This window comes from Homo sapiens, chromosome 5 (genome assembly GCF_000001405.40).
Source record: "Homo sapiens chromosome 5, GRCh38.p14 Primary Assembly".
Taxonomy (NCBI): Eukaryota; Metazoa; Chordata; class Mammalia; order Primates; family Hominidae; genus Homo; species Homo sapiens.
Genome location: NC_000005.10, coordinates 177,661,151 through 177,681,845, shown reverse-complemented (window position 1 = coordinate 177,681,845; position 20,695 = coordinate 177,661,151). Strand labels below are relative to the sequence as shown.

Here is a 20,695-nt window from a genome sequence, read left to right as displayed (position 1 = left end):
TAGTAACACCCATTACCAAGGGAAATGTAAGGTAATCATTTTTCTCATACATTGATAATATAGGGTGAATTATTACAGCTTTATAAAATTATTATTGTGGAGAATTTCTAACATATCTAAAAGGAAGACAGTGGTATAATGGACTCTCATTATACCAGCTCCAACAATTGTCAATTCAAGGCCATTCATTTTATCCCTGTTTCCATCCACTTGTCTCTCCCCGATACCTTTCTGAAGCAAATTATTTTATCCATAAATATTTCAGAATGTCTCTTGACCATTATTACATCTAAAAATAGAAAACCAAAAAGTCCTTAATTTAGTGAAACATCTACGCAGTGTTCAAATTTTTTTTTAAGAGACGGGGTCTTGCTCCCTGCCCAGGCTGGAGCGCAGTAGCACGATCATAGCTCACTGCAGCCTCGATCTCCTGGGCTCGAGTGATCTTCCTACCTCAGCCTCCCCAGGACCTGGGATTACAGGCATGAGCCACCACACCTGACCCTGTGTTCAAATTTCCAACTGTCTTGTAAATGTCATGCTTTTTCTATTTTGTTTGAACTGAGATCCAAATAAGGTCCACACATTGATACTGGGTGATATGACCTACAACCTTTTAAAGTAAGTAACATGGCCTTATACACTAAAACCAAAAATATACATACCCTTTGATCTAGTGATCCTAGTCCTAACAATGTAAGGTCGAATCTGAGACTTACTGTGACATTGTAATGACAAAAAACATGAAAACAGCTTGAATGACCATCAATGGGGAAAAAGTAAATAAACATGTACCTCTACAGTAGGAATAACTATGTCACTATTTAAAACAAGTAGGATCTGTAGTGTATTGATCTGGTGGCTGTCCGGATGAATTAAGCAAAAAAAAAGTGGTTAAGAAATATAGTTTATGATCTCACTTTAGTAAAAGCAAATGACAAATTCACAATCTCTAACATATATTTTATATATTTCTATGTGGTGTACATGTGTCTGTATATCTTTGGAGAGGCTTACATGATTATGGAGAAATATGTACAGGCTTACATACCTGGGCAAACAACATTTGCCTGGTGATGGTGGTCATGCTGGTGGTCAACAAAGAATGTATAAGAAGAGCATAAAGGGAGATAACAAACAGATTTGCAAAATTGGAAAATATTCACAGTATGCTAAGTGAAATGTATAAATCCAAAGTCTAACCACAATATTGTTAAAATATGTAAAACTGAATATGTAATGGTAACTAGGACAAAGGACAACTTAATGTGAGTAGTAGATTTTTGTCTTGGATGTCTTTTTTCACAAGAAAGTAACATTGGAACAAAGAAAAAATAGCATTTTATATATCATTATTAATTAAATGCATATTAGAACAAAACATGAGAGCACACCAACTTTTGTCTATTGATTTTGTCAATAACATGAATGCAGAAAATGTTCAGATAATTATTCTGTACAAAATGGTGTTAATAACTTCAGTTCTTTGCTACCTCAAGGTAGACCTCATACTTGGTCAAAACCACCTCCAAACAATCCTGGAATGCCTGGTTTTATGCAGTTACCCAATAACTCCTGTAAAACTAAGGTGGACATTGTGGTCATTAATGCAATTTGGCTTGAATTGGTGTCCTAATCTAATTATTACTCAAATCAGAAATGTAAAACAATGTCATTGTTTCCTACTACACTTGCTGCTAATGAACAAGTTGTACAAAGACAGGATTTGCTCAACTCATCCTCCCTCAAATCATTTCCTACATTCTTCTAACTTAAAGGATTGCTTTTGCCCAGGTTCTTTTGAGCTCTGCTTGCCCCGGAGTCCACATGCCCCATGAGTAAACTGGCTCAATTCTCCCACTACCTCCCTCCACTTAGTTAAAATTCATGAACTACCATAGTGCCTTAAAACATTATGCACCTGGCCAGGCGCGGTGGCTAACGCCTGTAATCCCAGCACTTTGGGAGGCCAAGGCAGGCGGATCACGAGGTCAGGAGATCGAGACCATCCTGGCTAACACGGTAAAACCCTGTCTCTGCTAAAAATACAAAAAATTAGCCAGGCGTGGTGGCGAGCACCTGCAGTCCCAGCTACTTGGGAGGCTGAGACAGGAGAATGGCGTGAACCGGGGAGGCGGAGCTTGCAGTGAGCCGAGATGGTGCCACTGCACTCCAGCCTGGGGGACAGAGCAAGATCCGTCTCAAAAAAAAAAGACAAAAACATTATGCACCAATGCAGGCAACTATAAACAGAAATATAAAGCCAATGTTGGAGTTGTACGGTCATAAAATGATTCAGAATGTGCTTATAATTTTTAATACTATTGCTCACCTGAAAATTACAAAATTACTTTTTCTTTTTTTTTTTTTAACCCTAGAATTTGCAGACTCCCAGGAGGTCTGGGCACTCAAATAGAGAAAGAGAGTTAGGATTTTACAAAGCTTATTGATGAAAGCAGGTAGGATGATATCATCAATTAGCCTGCTAACTAAACTCTAATTTAGAGCTGACTGGCCTTGCAATTGGGAGTAACTGTTTAGTTCCTTTCTTTCCTACTTCTTCACTTGGACCATTCCCCTATCACACAATGCTCTTTGGAACATTTGGACAAATAATTCAACTTTAAATCAGCAATTCCACTTCTAGAAATTTAACTTAAACAGATAGATATCTGGTCCAAAGTACAAAGATGTATGTGCAAGAATGTTTAAAGTAGCAAGATAATACTGTAAACATCCTAAATGTTCATTATTTGGTGTCTTGTTGAATATGCAAGCAATGTAATACTTTGTAAATGTTAGCTATTCATATAGATTTCACTGTTACTGAAAAAGATGAACAGCATAGGAGAAAAAAGTCAACGTATATGAACACAGTTTAAAGAAAAAGCTACAAATAGCCAATGAGCACTTTAAAAGTGTCATAACTTCACTCATAATGAAGTAAAGGCAATCAGGACAAGATACCAACCTTAAATTATTGGATTGGCAACAACTAAAAAGTCTGATAACCAGTGCTTGAAGAATTTGGGGAAATAAGCACTCCCAAGTGCTTTTGTTGATACGTTATTTGGTGCAACCTTTCTGGATGACAATTTGGGAATTTCTATCAATATGTAAAACACACATCTTCTAACCCAGTCCCCCATGCTTAAGAATTTCCCGGGTCAGGTGCAGTGGCTTACGCCTGTAATCCCAGCACTTCGGGAGGCCAAGGCAGGCAGATCACGAGGTCAGGAGATCGAGACCATCCTGGCTAACAGGATGAAAGCCTGTCTCTACTAAAAATACCAAAAAAAATTAGCCGGGCGTGGTGGCGGGCGCCTGTAATCCCAGCTACTCGGGAGGCTGAGGCAGGAGAATGGTGTGAGCTCGGGAGGCAGAGCTTGCAATGAGCCAAGATGGTGCCACTGCACTCCAGCCTGGGCGACAGAATGAGACTCCGTCTCAAAAAAAAAAAAAAGAATTTCCCTGCAGATATGCTGGCAAGACTTCTTAGAAGCTCAAAGATGTTGTTGTAACATAATTGGTAATAGTAATAACAAAAATACACAAAAACCCTAGAAACAACCAAAATATCCATGATAGAAAACCAATTAAATAAATTATGGCACAGCCTAACAAATGACTTTTTAATGTAAGCTGTTAAAAAGTGACAGATATGTTTACCCTGCAGTTAGGAAATAATGCCCATGATAAATTACAAAAGGCAAAGTAAATAACTGTACAGTGTGATTTTTATGGTGTGTTAGAACAGATAAGTATGTGTAGTAAGTAAGTATGTTTTGAAGGATTTACAAGAAACTAATAAAGGTATTTAGTGTTAGGAGGAAGAACTAGGAAAGAGAGGGTGGCTTTCAACTTTCACTTTTCATTTTGTAAGTTTTGGTAGCAAGAATTTACTGAACTCACAAGATGTTTCTTTTAGTTTTACAAACTGTTCAATGAGGGATACCAAGAATGGGAGAACGTGGTATATTTTTTTGCTTGCTTCTTTGTGGTTTTCTATATAAAAGCAAATACGCTATTTTAAAATATGAGCCAATAGACAATATGGATACTATAGATCCATGTTCACTGACACAGAAAACCATAAGGACATATTAATTTAAGAAAACCAACTGTGATGCAATATGCATAGTCTGATCCCATTTATGTAAAAATTTTGCACATGTGAGTATCGGCCATTTAGAGATATCTGGAAAGATGTTATCAAAATATGATGGAGTTACACATTCTGCTTCGTAACCTTTCTCAATTGCTTTAACTTTCTCAAATGAGGATTCTTCAAACATAGGGAATGAAACAAAATTTTTACAAAGGCCTTGATATCACAGCAAATTTGAAGATGGGAAGGAAGCAGGGAGAAAGTATAAGAAAATGATTTAAATAAAGTTATGTAAACTGAGAGGCCGCCTGCTGAAGCAATCCAGTGGAAAAGCTAAGAGTGCCCTGAAACTGGAAGATTAGACCTGGAATCCCACAGAAGGGACAGAATGTTCCCTAGAGCAGGGAGAAACTTGAGCTAGCTGGCTTTAGCATAAACAAAAGCGGGTCTGCAGGCACTGACCCTGCCATGTAATGAAAAATAGAAAAAAGAAAAAATATTTTAAAGATGAATAACCACCAAAAAAAAAAAAATCCCCATTAATAAGGCAGGAAGCTTTGTATTTAGAATGTTTTTACCACAAATGATGGTTTCAAATCTCAATAGCAGGCTGCGTGCGGTGGCTCACACCTGTAATCCCAGCACTTTGGGAGGCCAAGGCAGGCGGATCACGAGGTCAGGAGTTCAAGACCAGACTGGTCAACACAGTGAAACCCCGTCTCTACTGAAAAAAAAAAATACAAAAATTAGCCGGGCATGGTGGCGTGCATGCCCAGCTACTCCCAGCTACTCGGGAGGCTGAGGCAGGAGAATCGCTTGAACCCAGGAGGCGGAGGTTGTGGTGAGCCAAGATCGTGCCACTGCACTGCAGCCTGGGTGATAGAGTGAGACTTCGTCTCAAAAATAAACAACTCTATACCAGAGCAGATATGTTATTCGATAAAGCTAAAAATGTATTTAATTTTAGTAAGTACACATGAATTCAGGTAAATACACAGAAGCAGCTCTAGAGGAATAAACATAACAGCACTGAAAAGGGGGAATTGCGAATCTGGATGGGGGAGGTGGCAAAAGGGGCCTTTAGCCTTGTCTGTAATGCTTTTAAATTTTATAAAAGAAAACCATGCACATAGTGTGTTCTATTTTGGTAAAATAGACGTAACACAAAATTTACCATTATAACCATTTTAAATATACAATTTGGCGGCATTAGTTCATTCACAAAGTTGTGCAACCATCACCACCATCCATTTCCAGAACTCTTTGTCATCCCAAGCTGAAACTCAATACACATTAAACAATAACTCCCCATTCTCCCCTTCCCCAACCCCTGAAAAACCATTATTCCATTATCTGTCTCTGTGAATTTGCCTATTCTAGGTACTTCATAAACATGGAATTGTATATTTGTCCTTTTGTATCTGGCTTATTTCACTTAGCATAATATTCTCAAGGTTCATCCATGTGACATGTTATCAGAATTTAATTCCTTTTCATGGCTGAATATATTATTCTATTATATGTATATACCACTTTTTTTTAATCCATTCATCTGCTGAGGAAGACCTGTTTCTACCTTTTGGCTATTAGAAATAATGCTGCTGTGAAGATTTGCAGACGAGTACCTGTTTGAGTCCCGTTTTCAGTTTTTCTGGGCAAATATCTAGGAGTAGAATTGTTGAATCATACGGTAATTCTACATCTAACTTTTTGAGAAACTGCCAAACTATTTTTCACAGCTGCTTCTCCATTTTACATTCCTACCAGCAACGCACAGTGGTTCCAGTTTCTCCATATCCTTCCCAAATTTGTTTTCTGTTTTTTAAAAAAATAGCCATCCTAAATGGGTATAAAGTAGGATCTCAATGTGGTTTTGATTTGCATCTTCACACATTTTCTCATGTATGAATTTTTCATTAAAAATTATTTTAAAAGAAACCATTTTTTCTTCATTAACCAACTAGTGATACCTCCTTAACTGCTAAGCTCTTTGAGAACAGAGGTAATAGCTGTCCTGCTCACTGCTTTATCCCCGACCCCTAACATAAGCCTAGCATCTAGCAGGTACTCACCAAATACAGTATTCACTGGATGCATAAAATACTACATTAGCCTCTCAATTTACATGAGACTAATGTATGGTTTGGGGGGAGTGAGTCTATGAAAAAGTGTCACCTTAAAAAAAATACACAAATTTCTGAAAAACATACAATCACTTTGGAAGTCTTGGGTAAACGGCACACTTCAAGACAAATCCAGGATGGCCAAGGAAACATAAGTGACATTACTTATAGTTTTAAGGAGGGCAACTTCACAGCCAGTATTCATCCCACCTGGGTTGCCAAGTAAGGGCAGGGTACTTTTAAGCTGTTCTCATATTATACGACCAGGGGTCCTGAGTTTCCTGTATTTCAGGCAGGATGGCTGATGAGAAAGATACAATCTGAACACTCTTATGTCTTGCCACAGTAGAGTAGGCCAGAGCTTGGCCAGAATCAGCAGCAGAGGCCAAAAGAAGTAGAGGGATGCAGGAGATGTTTAGGAGGTAAAACAGACAGGACTTGTTGAGGAAAGGGGAGACACCAAGTGCAATACTCAGGTTTTTCACTTCAGCAATTGCTGGCTGGTGGAGCCATCACCATAAGACACATAAAGAGAGCAGGCTTTTTTGTGGGTGTGGGGAGCATAAAGGTGAGTTTGGCTTTAGACATACTCAACCTGAGAGGCCTACGAGATTCAGCACATGTTTGGATGTATACAACTGGAGTTTTAAGGACAGGACTGGGCTGAGATAAACTCGTGGCAGCCATTGGCATAAAACCAATCACTGAAGCCAGGGAATAGTTGAGATTGTAGAGGGAAGAGGTCCCGTGTGTAAAGGTGGCCGATGTCAGGACTCTAAGGGACATCAAGAGTTTAAGGAGTGAGTAGAGGAGTCAGCTAAGGAGACTAAAAAAAAAGTGGTGAGAGAAGCACAGCATCACAGAAACCTACAGAAGACAGTGTTCCAGCAAGCAGGTAGTCAGACACACCAAATGGTTGTGTATTTTGTTTCATTTTGTTTTATTGAGACAGGGTCGCACCCTATTGCCCCAACTGGAGTGCAGGGGCAGTATCATAGCTCACTGCAGCCTCCAACTCCTGGGCTCAAGGGATCCTCCTACCTCAGCTGCCTGAGTAGCTAGGACCACAGGCATGCACTACCACACCTGGCTAATTTGTTTTTATTTTTGTAGAGACAGGGTCTTGCTATATTGCCCAGGCTAGTCTCAAACTCCTGGCCTCAAGCTATTCTCCCAACTCGGCCTCCCAAAGTGCTGGGATTACAGGTGTGAGAGATCACAACCCTAAATGTTTAATAGCTTTAGATGAAGACAACTTAATGAATCCTTTCACAAGGGTGACTTCACCCATTGGACCAGAATGTCTGAAATCTGCTGGGCATAAACTCCCCGTCCACCAGACCAGTAGTTCTCACAGTGTGGTCCCCAGACTAGCAGCATCCACATCACCTGGGCACTTGTTAGAAATGCAAATTTCAGGGGCCCACCCCCAAAATTCTTTTTCTCAATCAGAAAATCTGATGTGTGATTGTTAGTTCATTCTCGAATTGCTATAAAGAAATGCCTGAGACTGAGTAATTTATAAAGAAAAGGGGTTTAATTGGCTCACGGTTCAGCAAGCAGTACAGGAAGCATAGGAGCATCTGCTTCTGGGGAGGTCTCAGGAACCTTACTATCAAGACGGAAGGCGAAAGGGGAGTGGACATCACATGGGGAAAGGGGCGAGGTGGGAGGTGCCACACACTTTTAAACAACCAGATCTCAAGAGAACTCGCTATCACAAGGACAGTACCAAAGGGATGGTACTAAACCATTCATAAGAAACCACCCCCATGATCCAATCACCTCCCACCAGTCCCCACCTCTAATATTGGGGATTACAATTCAACAGGAGACTTGGGTGGGGACACAGATCCAAACCATACCAGCAACCCAGCAATCTGTGTTTTGTTGGGTTTTTTGTTTTTGTTTTTTTGAGATGGAGCCTTGCTCTGTCCCCCAGGCTGGAGTGCAATGGCACGATCTCGGCTCACTGCAACCTCCGCCTCCCGGGTTCAAGCAATTCTCCTGCCTCAGCTTCCCAAATAGCTGGGATTACAGGCGCCTGCCACCATGCCCAGCTAATTTTTGTATTTTTAGTAGAGACGAGGTGGGCCAGGCTGGTCTCGAACTCCTGACCTCAAGTGATCCACCCGCCTCGGCCTCCCAGAGTGCTGAGATTACAGGCGTGAGCCGCCGCACCCGGCCGCAGTCTGTCTTAACAAACACTCTAGGGGATTCTGATGCTCACCAAAGTGTGAAAAACACTGCATTAGACAGTGCTTGGAGAGCACCTGATAACCATTCCTTTAGGAACAAATTCCCCTCCTATTAAACACATTATTCTTTGGATCTGTTAACATATTTTGCAAAACTTCTGGAGCCTGAGCAGCAGGATTTTGTCAATACCCCACATTTAGTGTACCAATAGGTCCTATCTTGATTTTAATGGTCCTGCCCTACAACCAACCAACCAGCCAACTACCCACCGATTCCTCTACTGGGGACAACCTTTTTCACCTTTATAACTTCTGCTTATTCACAACATCTAATTATTCATGGCCTCTGCTACTTCATGGCTTCTTTTGTGCACCTTTTCAGCTTCTGATCCTGATACCAACTGAACAACTGTCTACGTCAAACTTGTTTAACTCCCTGTTTAACATTAAGAGTTTTTTTTTTTCGCAACTCTTTTCCTTTAGGTCATCAGCTATCATTAGTGTATTTTATGTATGGCCCAACACAATTCTTCTTCCTGGGGAAGCCAAAAGATTGGACACCCCTGCTCTAAATCTCAGTTTAAACTCCTGAGAGACACATATTGTTGGTGAAATCGCAAAACTGGTACAATTTAGGAGGGTAATTTGGCATCATTTATCAAAACTACAAAAACATGGCCTTTGCCCCAATAAGTCCGCTTTTAGGCATTTATCCTACAGATACACATGGGCGTGTGCACCAAAAAGTGGGGTCTCTCTCTCTCCCTTAGCTCGGCCAGAAGCCAGGTCACCTATCCTCGGTCACTCAGGGGCCAGGACCTCTCTCCCTGCCCCTCAGTCAAGGCCCTCTCAGTCCGGGAGGCGCTTCACACCTGGGCAGGGTGGGACTGGGCGCGCCTCACTTCACGCTTTCGTCGGTTGGAAGCAGGTGGGGAAGTCCCCGCGGCCTCGGCGTCTCGCACGCCTGGCCCCAACACCTGCCGAAGCCGGCTGCGACTCCATTTTTCTTTTTTTCTTCCTCCTGGGAAACGGAGGACCCGCGCCGCCACGAAGCACAGCGACCCTGGCCCTGACCTCAGCCGCCCGCCGCCGGTGGGCGGGGCTTGGCGGCCCGGCGGGGCGGGGCTCGGGGCGGGGCCGGCGGGGCGGTGGCCCGGGTTGTAGCCGCCGCCGCTGCCGCCGCCCCCGCCGCCGCCACCTCAGAAGCAGGAACCGAAGTCGTCGCCGCCGCCGCCACTGCCTGGGTCTTCGGTCGGGGCCCGCAGCCATGGAGGATTACATCGTGATCTCGGACGACAGCGGCTCTGAGAGCTCCGGGGGCGCCCGCCCGGGCCGGTCGCGGAGGCTGCGCCGGGCCCTGTCGCGAACCTCCGGCGCGCTGCCCCGCCGGACCGTGGTGAGTGAGCGTCGCCTCGTTTGGGGGCGCGCGTCTTCGCGACCCTCGGCTGGGCCCGCCGCCCGCTTCCCGCCCCTGGCGCCTCACAGCTGCAGCCACTTCCCGCCTTGCCTCCTTCCGGGCCTCTCGGGCCCCGGGGAGCGCGGCGGGCCGGGGCAGGGGCCAGGGCAGGGACCGGGGAGGCCGGGCCTCCCAGGCTCAGCGCTGAAGCCCGAGAGGACTGCGGCTGGAAAGCGGCCGAGCACATGGACGAGCTCCTGGCGCGCCTGCTGCAGGGGCTGGGGTCTCAGGCCGGGGCCGCGGGCGTCCTCGGAGCCTCGGCGGGACGTGGGGGCTCGGGTGTACTGGCCGGGCCGATGCAGGAAAGCGGGAGCGCGTAATTCTTCGGCCTGTGGTGGACACAGATGTGTGCAGGGAGGTAACAGGAGCCCAGGCTGGGAGGGAGGGAAGCGCGGGCCTGGGCCAGATGGTGGCCGCGCTCCAGGGCCTGACTGCAGAGCGAGGGGCCCGATTTTGGAGTTGTACAGGAGGGCGATTTATTTCCTCAGCACTTACCCTGTACCAAGCCCTGAAGGAATAGGGAAGGAAACCTCGCGCGCTATTTCTGTTTCCCTCAGAACCCCTTCGTCTTTGTCGTTCATGAGGTGGTGAATTATCTGCCTTTCGAGAATCCTGCATCGATGTTTATTGAATCCCTACTATGGGCCAGATGTTGTAGGGGCCGGGGATACAACGGCGAACACAATATCCATGGTCCCCTCAGAAGGTGATACATCATCAGGTGGTTGTTGAGGACCTACTCAAGCGGTGGGAGGTGGAGCTTTCTCTCAGAAGGCTTCCAACGATCTCCCCAGCCTCCCAGAGCCATCCCCCGGAAACACAAGGATTATCAAGCTGATGTTATGTGTATAGATCATACAGTTTACCATGCTTCCTATGCAAATACTCGTTCAAGACGTTTCCTAGCTTCTGCTGCCCCTGTTCCCTTTCTAGCTGGTTTACAGTCCCTAAACCTCCATTGGGAACCCCTTCTGTGCCCGAGGTACAGTGCCAAGTGCTAGATGATCACTATAGAATGAATAGCATGCAAAACTAGTTAATATATATTATTTTTCAAGCAAGAGGGTTTCTCAGGACGTCTTAGAGACAAATTTAGTTGAGTTAGGCAGCTCATGAGGTAGTGAGAGAAGAGATTTCCAAGATAGAAATGACCCGACTTCATGAGTGAATGGATATATCTAGGGCTGTGGCTGAATGTATCGGACATAATAGATGCACAATAAATATTTGTTGGATGAAGGAACGATTGAAAGAATATGGGGAGAGAGAATGGTTTAGATGGATGTTTGATAAGTATAAGAGAAGTGCATATAAAAGTAGCAGCAGGCTTGAGATGAAGGAGATGCTGAATTCAGGTTGGACCTGTTGGATTTACAGTGTTAATAGGAAATGTAGATGGATGTGGCCAGCTCAGTAGTTGGAGAAAAGGCAAGAATGGAGATATTTGGCAATCATGCAAACAGAAAGGAGTATTGAAGGCCTAATAGTGACTGAGATCATGAAGGAAAAGAGTAGAGAGAGAAAAAAGGTGGAAGGGAAAAAATACTTCTTTCCTCCTAGTTCCTCCTCATTCCTATAGCCTCTTCTCTCACTACCTGTTTAACTTTGTCCTTCCCACTTGCTTCCTTTCCTCCCAAGTGTTGTCCATTTTCCCTCATTCTCGTCCAGCTTCCTTCTTCAGTGGTCAGATGCCATGCTTATCTCAGTCTTTTGTGGTCTTTCACATACGTACATGGGCGTAGTCTCTCACTGTTTCCCTCACTTGTGACCACTCAAGCAAGCATTTTGATCTTGAGCCTTTGAGTTGAATCGAAATGAGGGGCAAGTTCCAGAGAGCAGTACCCAATTTAAATCGTGCTTCTCCAGATATTTATTCCAGCTCTCTAAAAGCTCCAAGCTTATTCTCGTTTTATCTTTTTTGCAAGTTAGATAAGAGTGGTATGATAACCATGTAAAAGATCAGAGGCATTGAGAGACTTGCAAGGTTATAAAGTCTAAAAGTGCCCTTTTCTCTGTAGCTTTTCCCGAAGGCTCTGAGGTCAGAGAGACTTCTGAATCAATATCTCCAGCATAGCAACTATTTGAGTTTTGGAAAGTTCTGTCAACTCTCAGCTTTTGAGCCTGAGAACATTAATGCCTACCTAGCAGGATGGTTTTAAATTTTTAATGAGACAATTGCAAGGAAAGGATCTCATATAAATGATAGCTTTTGCCACTTTTTGTGTTGTTTCTAAGCCCAGTCCTGTCCCTCTTGAGCTTCACAGGCAATGAAATAAAAGAAGCAACTTTTACATCTTGCTTTTTTTTTTTTTTTTAATAAATATTGACTAAGGGGAAGTAACTTGCTTGAACTTGAGAAAGCCATGTCTAATGCTGAAGTTGACATTTCTGAACTCTTGATTCTTAACCTGGGCTTTAGTCTTCACTGAGTCGATGAGGTGTGTTTCTGTGTTTATCATGGCTTTTTCGTTTGGGATTTTTTGTTTTTCGTTTTTTTACTTATAAAAACAGAACATTTTCAGATGGTTAATTTTGTTGATCTAATTATACAATTTTTATAAATGTATAAAGAAGAAAATTAAAATTGCCCGTAATCTCACTATCCAAAGATAACCAATGTTAACATTTTGATGTATGTCTATGTAAATGTTTACTTGCATACACACATGTGCATACATACATACCTATGTGTCCTCCCCATACATGTTTTTATGACCTCCTCTTAATGGATATTATGCCTTCGTTTCTAAATTTTCTCTAAGAACCCAGTGAAAAATTCCCTCATAATCTTTGTACTCTTGTTCATTTGTTTATTAAGTTCCTCTTAGAAGTTAGATTGCTGAGTCAAAAGGTGTGCCCTACTTTATATGTAGCTAATCCTTGAATAACACGGGGATTAGGGTTGCTAACCCCCCCGTGCAGTTGAAAATTTACATGTGACATTTGACTCCTCGAAAACTTAACTACCAGTGGCCTACTGTTGACTGGAAGCCTTACCAGTAACATAAGCAGTTAACTCATGTTTTGTATGTTATATGGACTCTTACGATAAAGTAAGCAAGAGAAAAATGTTAAGATCATAAGGAAGATAAAATACATTTACAGTACTATACTGCATTTGTCAATACCATAGGTTTACATCGTCTGTTTACAAGATAAATCATCTGTCTGAAATAGGGGACAACCACAGCTGCAGACCTCTATCTACGGTACATCTCAAGCGATTCAGCTTTTCTTATGTCATGACTTTTCTCTGTTTCTTGAGAGTACATCCAGCATCACTAGTAGCACTTTGTATGGGTTTCATGGTGTTATTCAAGGTTTACGATATTACCCTACACATGATTAAACAAGTATATGTGGAAAAAAACCCAGGAGAGAACACTTGTTACCATGATACACAGTTTACTGGGAAGTAGTGCAGAAATTGATTAGTGTGACATGGCGTTTTAAGTGGATCCTCACAACACTTGAGCCCACCACAGCAGCAGCAGATGTCTGTGGTAGTAGGACATTATTATCACAGTAGTACAGTGTAGTCTATGGTAAATTTTATGCAGTTGTGATACAAATTAAAAAGAAAAAAATAATGAATTTAAAAATATGCAGTTGTGAGTTAATATTGCATCTTTACATTTCTGTCAACTGCAGATGTCACCATCTATGGTCAGTAAGTGATTGTGTGCATAAATTTTGATAAAGTTTAACTTTGTATAATAGATTTGTGTTGATTTTATGGTAGTAAATGGATAAAATAGGCTAGTATCTACATATATTTTATGCATTCAGGACATATCTTTTTCTTAGTTTTTTTCAATTTTTGTAGGCTGTGGAGTTCATCTGTGAGTTTTTCAGATTGTTATAAATCGCCAAAAAATTTTCCAATATATTTATTGAAAAAAACTCTCTTGTAAGTGGACCCATGCAGTTCAAACCTGTGTTGTTCACGAATCAACTGTATTGCCAAATTTCCTACAGAAATTGTGCATTAATATTCTTACCAGTGGTATATGGCCAATCATATCCCTTTCTCTGCTGCCTAGTCACCCCTAGGTATTGTTACATTATTCCATAAATATTTATTGAACACTTATTATATACCAGGCACTCTTAGAGGTGCTGGGAATACATCTATGAAAACCAAGTCCCTGCCGTCATGGAGATTTCATTTTACTGAGGGGACACAGATAGTAAACAGCACTATAAATGTAATGTCAGGTGATAATACAGAGTGTTAGGGGAAAAAATACGGTATTTTTGTTCTTTTAATCTTTGCTGTTTGATAGCCAGATTCCATAAGATGTCATTATTTTTTTATTATGATTCATTTATTCAATAAATATTTATTGAGCATATGCTGTAACCCTGGGGACCAGAGGTGAACAAGATGATAATGGAACTACATTCTGCTGTGGAAAGATAGGCAGTAAACAAACTAACAAATAAGAGAACAGTATAATAGTAACTTTGGTGGGATTGGGAACATTTGATTGTGTTTTCAGAGAAGGCCTCTCTGAAGAGTTAATATTTGACCTGAGACTAAAATGACAACAAATTAGTTATAAGATCTAGATGAATAAGGCATTGTCAAAGGGAACAACAAAACCAAAAGTTTGGAGGCAGGAATGAGCATGACTTACTGGAAGAATGGAAAGCCAGTGAGGCTGCAGTGTAACGACTGATGGACAGAGTCAGAAGAGATGAGAAGTAGGTAGGTTAGGTTATAGGGCTTTGGAGACCACAATAAGGGATTTGGATTTTATTGTAATACAGTAAGAAATCTTTGAAGGTTTAAGCAGGACAGTGACATGATTTGATTTACCTTTTTTTTTTTTTTTTGGAGATGGAGTCTTGCTCTGTTGCATTGCTCAGGCTGTAGTGCAGTGGTGCGATCTCGGCTCACTGCAACCTCCACTTCCCAGGTTCAAGCAATTTCCCCCAACTCAGCCTCCCGAGTAGCCGGGACTACAAGCGCACCACCACGCTTGACTAATTTTTTGTATTTTAGTAGAGACGGGGTTTCACCATGTTGGCCAGGATGGTCTAGATCTCCTGACCTCATGATCCTCCCGCCTCGGCCTCCCAAAGTGCTGGGATTACAGGCGTGAGCCACTGCACCTAGCCTTGATTTACATTTTTTAGAGATGACTTTAGCTACTGTGAAAAGAAAAGATGGTAAGGTAGGGAGACCATATAATTTATCATCCAATTGGGAAACTTTTGCAAATGAAAAGGGATGCTAACTGGACCAGGATGTCAAGCAACAGGTGAAAACTGGAACTGTCCCAAACAAAGCAGAAGTGTAGTCACCCTACTGTAAGAGGGGAAGAGTGAAATTAGGGAGATCAGTTAGAAGGTTGGCTGTAGTAGTCCAGGTCAGAAATAACTGTAGCTTGGACTGGAGTGGTGGTACAGACTGGGAGAGTGGAGGGATGTAGATATTTAGTAAATAAAATCAACAGGTCCTGATAACTTGGATGTGGATAACAAGGGAAAGGAAGGAATGAAGAAGGATGCCCTGAGTTCTGGCTTGAGCAACTGAATGCATGTTGGTGTCATGCATTGAAATGAAGCAGACTTGGGAGGAACAGGGTTAGAGGAAAGATTCAAGAGTTCTGTTTTGAAGGTATAAAACTTAACGATGCCTGTGGAATAGCCAACTGGAGATGCCAAGTATAACATTTGTACTGAGTTTAGAGCTCTGAAGAAAAGTCCTGACTAGAGATACAAATTTAGTCTTGTTAGCGCATAGGTTATAGTGAAGTCATTGACCTGGATAAAATCATCTAGGTTGAGGTGACAAGAGGAAGAACATCCAGAACCTAGCCCAAGGGAACACCATAGTGCATAGCCCAAGGGAGGAAGAGCAGCTAGTGAGGTTGGAGATAAAGGAGTGTGCTCACATATAGTACAGCCAGACATCTTGCTTATGTTTATTGGAAACACATAGGGTATGTGTGCAAATTCCCTATGCTTGTCCTTTGCCCATTTTTCTGTTGCGGTATTATAATGTTTCTTTTTTTTTTTCCTTTTTTTTTTTTTTTTTTTTTTTTTTGAGAGGGAGTTTCACTCTTGTTGCCCAGGCTGGAGTGCAATGGTGCAATCTCAGCTCACTGCAACCTCCACCTACCTGGCTCAAGCGATTCTCCTGCCTCAGACTCCCAAGCAGCTGGGATTACAGGCATGTGCCACCATGCCCAGCTAATTTTGTATTTTTAGTAGACACGGGGTTTTACCATGTTGGTCAGGCTGGTCTCAAACTCCTGACCTCAAGTGATCCACCCGCCTCGGCCTCCCAAAGTGCTGGGATTACAGGCATGAGCCACCGCACCCGGCCAACATTTCTTATTCATTTGTTAAATCTACTTATATATTAAAGATTGGTATAGGTGGAACTGTATCTCCTAAAAAGCTGTGCTGAAGTTCTAACCCCCCACTACCTCAGATTGTGACCTTATTTAGAAATAGGGTCATTGGCAGATATAATCAGTGAAGATGAGGTTGTGCCGAGTAGAGTGAACCCTTAATACAACATGACTACTGTCCTTATGAGAAGAACATGTGAAGACACAGGGGAAGAACGCCATGTGACAGTGGAAGCAGAAACCGAAGTTATGCAGCTGCAAGCCAAGGAACACCGAGGACTGCTGGCGACATCAGGAGCTAAGAAAAAGGCATGAAACAGATTCTTCCCTGGAGCCTTCAAGAGAACGTGGCTCTGTAGACACCTTGATTTCAAACCTTTAGCCTCCAGGACTGTGAGGGGATAAATTTCTGTTGCTTAAATCCACCTAGTTTCTGGTAATTTTTACTAGGAAACTAATATAGCCTCCTGTCATACATGTTACAATTTTCTTTCAACTTTTGATTTTGTTTTTTTAATTACAGAAGTTTTACATTTTTATATAGTCAATTCTACCACTCCTTTTCTTTATGATTTCTTAGTTGTCATGCTTATGTCAACCTAAATAACAGACAGCGACTATCTAAAAAGAAAGTGATATTTATTCAGGAATGGCATTGCAACCGGAGTGTGTGAGCCATAATAAACTATGTGTGTATTCAGGGAGGTAAAGGAAGGCAGAAGCTTTTAAAGGAAAAATGAGGAGGATTACATAATTGTTTTGAGATAATTATCGTTATCTGCAAGGATTAATAACAAGGGTGGCTCCAGTCCAAGGTCGAGCAGGCAGTTGCTGGGCAGATGTCCTCATGGAAGTATTTTTTTCTGTAAGGTTGTGGTTTTTGCAGAGCCTTTTGTGGTACTTATCAGGCATTTGTGCATAGTAATCCTCCCTTCATGGCCTTCCCTAGCTCTATTTGTCAAGGTTTTTTTTTTTTTTTTTTTTTGAGACGAGTCTCGCTCTGTCACCCAGGCTGGAGTGCAGTGGCACGATCTCGGGTCACTGCAACCTCCACCTCCCGGATTCAAGCAATTCTCCTGCCTCAGCCTCCTGAGTAGCTGGGATTACAGGCATGTGCCACTACACCTGGCTAATTTTTTTGTATTTTTCGTAGAGACGGGGTTTCACCATATTGGCCAGGCTGGTCTCGAACTGCTGACCTTGTGATCCACCCACCTCGACCTCCCAAAGTGTTGGGATTACAGGCATGAGCCACCACGCCTGGCCAGGTGACTCCATTTTGATACTGACAACTCACATTTCCCTCATTTGATCAAGATGTTTTCCCAAAAACATTGCCAATCAGCTTGTATAATAGTTCAGGTGTGTGTGTGTGTGTGTGTGTGTGTGTGTGTGTGTGTGTGTGTGTTTGTCTTGAGATGGAGTCTCACTCTGCCACCCAGGCAAAGTGATCTTGGCTCACTGCAACCTCCACTTCCCGGGTTCAAGTGATTCTCCCACTCAGCCTCCCGAGTAGCTGGGATTACAGGCAAGTGCCACCATGCCTAGCTAATTTTTTATTTATTATTATTATTATTCTTTAAGTTCTGGGATACATGTGCAGAACGTGCAGGTTTGTTACATAGGTATACACATGCCATGGTGGCTGCTGCACTCATCAACCCATCATCTACCTTAGGTATTTCTCCTAATGCAATCCCTCCCCTAGCCCCCCACCCCCCAACAGGCCCCGGTGTGTGATGTTCCCGTCCCTGTGTCCATGTGTTCTCATTGTTCAACTTCCACTTATAAGTGAGAACATGCAGTGTTTGGTTTTCTGTTCCTGTGTTAGTTTGCTGAGAATGATGGTTTCCAGCTTCATCCATGTCCCTTCAAAGGACATGAACTTATCCTTTTTTATGGCTGCATAGTATTCCATGGTGTATATGTGCCACATTTTCTTTATGCGTCTATCATTGATGGGCATTTGGGTTGGTTCCAAGTCTTTGCTATTGTGAATAGTGCTGCAGTAAACATACATGTGCATGTGTCTTTATAGTAGAATGATTTATAATCCTTTGGGTATATACCCAGTAATGGGATTGCTGGGTCAAATGGTATTTCTGGTTCTAGATCCTTGAGGAATCACCACACTGTCTTCCACAATGGTTGAACTAATTTACACTCCCGCCAACAGATTAAAGTGTTCCTATTTCTCCACATCCTCTCCAGCATCTGTTGGTTCCTGACTTTTTAATGATTGCCATTCTAACTGGTGTGAGATAGTGTATCATTGTGCTTTTGATTTGCATTTCTCTAATGGCCAGTGATGATGAGCTTTTTTTCATATGTTTGTGGGCCGCGTAAATGTCTTCTTTTAAGAAGTGTCTGTTTATATCCTTTGCCCACTTTTTGATGGGGTTGTTTGTTTTTTTCTTGTAAATTTGTGTAAGTTCCTTGTAGATTCTGGATATTAGCCCTTTGTCAGATGGATAGATTACAAAGATTTTCTCCCATTCTGTAGGTTACCTGTTCACTCTGATGATAGTTTCTTTTGCTGTGCAGAAGCTCTTTAGTTTAATCAGATCCATTTGTCAATTTTGGCTTTTGTTGCCATTGCTTTTGGTGTTTTAGTCATGAAGTCTTGCCCATGCCTATGTCCTTAATGGTATTGCCTAGGTTTTCTTCTAGGGTTTTTATGGTTTTAGGTTTTACATTTAAGTCTTTAATCCATCTTCAGTTAATTTTTGTATAAGGTGTAAGGAAGGGGCCCAGTTTCAGTTTTCTGCATATGGCTAGCCAGTTTTCCCAACACCATTTATTAAGTAGGGAATTCTTTCCCCATTGCTTGTTTTTGTCAGGTTTGTCAAAGATCAGATGGTTGTAGATGTGTGGCATTATTTCTGAGGCCTTTGTTCTGTTCCGTTGGTCTATATATCTGTTTTGGTACCAGTACCATCCTGTTTTGGTTACTGTAGCCTTGTAGTATAGTTTGAAGTCAGGTAGTGTGATGCCTCCAGCTTTGTTCTTTCGGCTTAGGATTGTCTTGGCTATATGGGCTCTTTTTTGGTTCCTTATGAACTTTAAAGTAGTTTTTTCTAATTCTGTGAAGAAAGTCAATGGCAGCTTGATGGGGATAGCATTGAATCTATAAATTACTTTGGGCAGTATGGCCATTTTCATGATATTGATTCTTCCTATCCATGAGCATGGAATGTTTTTCCATTTGTTTGTGTCCTCTTTTATTTTGTTGAGCAGTGGTTTGTAGTTCTCCTTAAAGAGGTCCTTCACATCCCTTGTAAGTTGTATTCCTAGGTATTCTATTCTCTTTGTAGCAATTATGAATGGGAGCTTGCTCATGATTTGGCTCTCTGTTTGTCTATTATTGGTGTATAGGAATGCTTGTGACTTTTGCACATTGATTTTGAATCCTGAGACTTTGCTGGAGTTGCTTATCAGCTTAAGGAGATTTTAGGCTGAGACGATAGTGTTTCTAAATATACAATCATGTCATCTGCAAACAGAGACAGTTTGACTTCCTCTCTTCCTATTTGAATACCCTTTATTTCTTTCTCTTGCCTGATTCCCCTGGCCAGAACTTCCAATACTATGTTGAATAGGAGTGGTGAGACAGGGCATCCTTGTCTTGTGCTGGTTTTCAAAGGGAATGCTTCCAGCTTTTACCCATTCAGTATGATATTGGCTGTGGGTTTGTCATAAATAGCTCTTATTATTTTGAGATACGTTTCATCAACACCTAGTTTATGGAGAGTTTTTAGCATGAAGTGGTGTTGAATTCTATCAAAGGCCTTTTCTGCATCTATTGAGATAATCATGTGGTTTCTGTCATTGGTTCTGTCAATGGATTACGTTTATTGATTTGCGTATGTTGATCCAGCCTTGCATCCCAGGGATGAAGCCAATTTGATCGTGGTGGATAAGCTTTTTGATGTGCTGCTGGATTTGGTTTGCCAGTATTTTATTGAGGATTTTTGCATCGATGTTCATCAGAGATAATGGCCTGAAATTTTTTTTTTGTTGTTGTGTCTTTGCCAGGTTTTGGTATCAGGATGATGCTGGCCTCATAAAACGAGTTAGGGAGGAGTCCCTCATTTTCTATTGTTTGGAATCATTTCAGAAGGAATGGTACCAGCTCCTCTTTGTGCCTCTAGTAGAATTTGGCTGTGAATCCGTCTGGTCCTGGGCTTTTTTTGGTTGGTAGGCTATTAATTACTGCCTCAATTTCAGAACTTGTTATTGGTCTATTCAGGGATTCAACTTCTTCCTGGTTTAGTCTTGGGAGGGTGTATGTGTCCAGGACATTATCCATTTCTTCTAGATTTTCTAGTTTATTTGCATAGAGGTGTGTATAGTCTTCTCTGATGGTACTTTGTATTTCTGTGGGATCAGTGGCGATATCCCCTTTATTATTTTTTATTGTGTCTATTTGATTCTTCTCTCTTTTC

General features: G+C 42.0%; 1 long non-coding RNA gene and 1 pseudogene across 4 annotated transcripts in view, besides 2 other annotated features; one reads left to right on the top strand and one right to left on the bottom strand.

The window, feature by feature from the left end:
• Positions 1-9,467, bottom strand: part of LOC107986489 (uncharacterized) — a 57,699-nt gene extending 48,232 nt beyond the window's left edge. The window contains exon 1 of one of the 3 annotated variants that reach the window (XR_001743020.2): positions 9,302-9,467. This is a non-coding gene — a long non-coding RNA (uncharacterized LOC107986489). Of the gene's footprint in view, positions 1-665; positions 1,961-4,686; positions 4,759-9,301 lie in introns of those variants that run through there. The other 2 variants (XR_001743023.2, XR_001743022.2) reach the window with 2 other exon arrangements.
• Positions 9,503-9,632: a silencer, noted in NCBI's record as "silent region_16706". NCBI's record gives its function as "represses an Ori minimal core promoter by ATAC-STARR-seq in GM12878 lymphoblastoid cells {active_cell/tissue: GM12878}" and the evidence as "EXISTENCE:reporter gene assay evidence [ECO:0000049][PMID:35858748]".
• SIMC1P1 (SIMC1 pseudogene 1) overlaps positions 9,569-20,695 on the top strand; it is a 53,778-nt pseudogene continuing 42,651 nt past the window's right edge. Inside the window, exon 1 of the transcript NR_026921.1 lies at positions 9,569-9,825. The product of NR_026921.1 is annotated as an SIMC1 pseudogene 1 (transcript). The remainder of the gene's footprint in view (positions 9,826-20,695) is intronic.
• Positions 9,643-9,832: a silencer, noted in NCBI's record as "silent region_16705". NCBI's record gives its function as "represses an Ori minimal core promoter by ATAC-STARR-seq in GM12878 lymphoblastoid cells {active_cell/tissue: GM12878}" and the evidence as "EXISTENCE:reporter gene assay evidence [ECO:0000049][PMID:35858748]".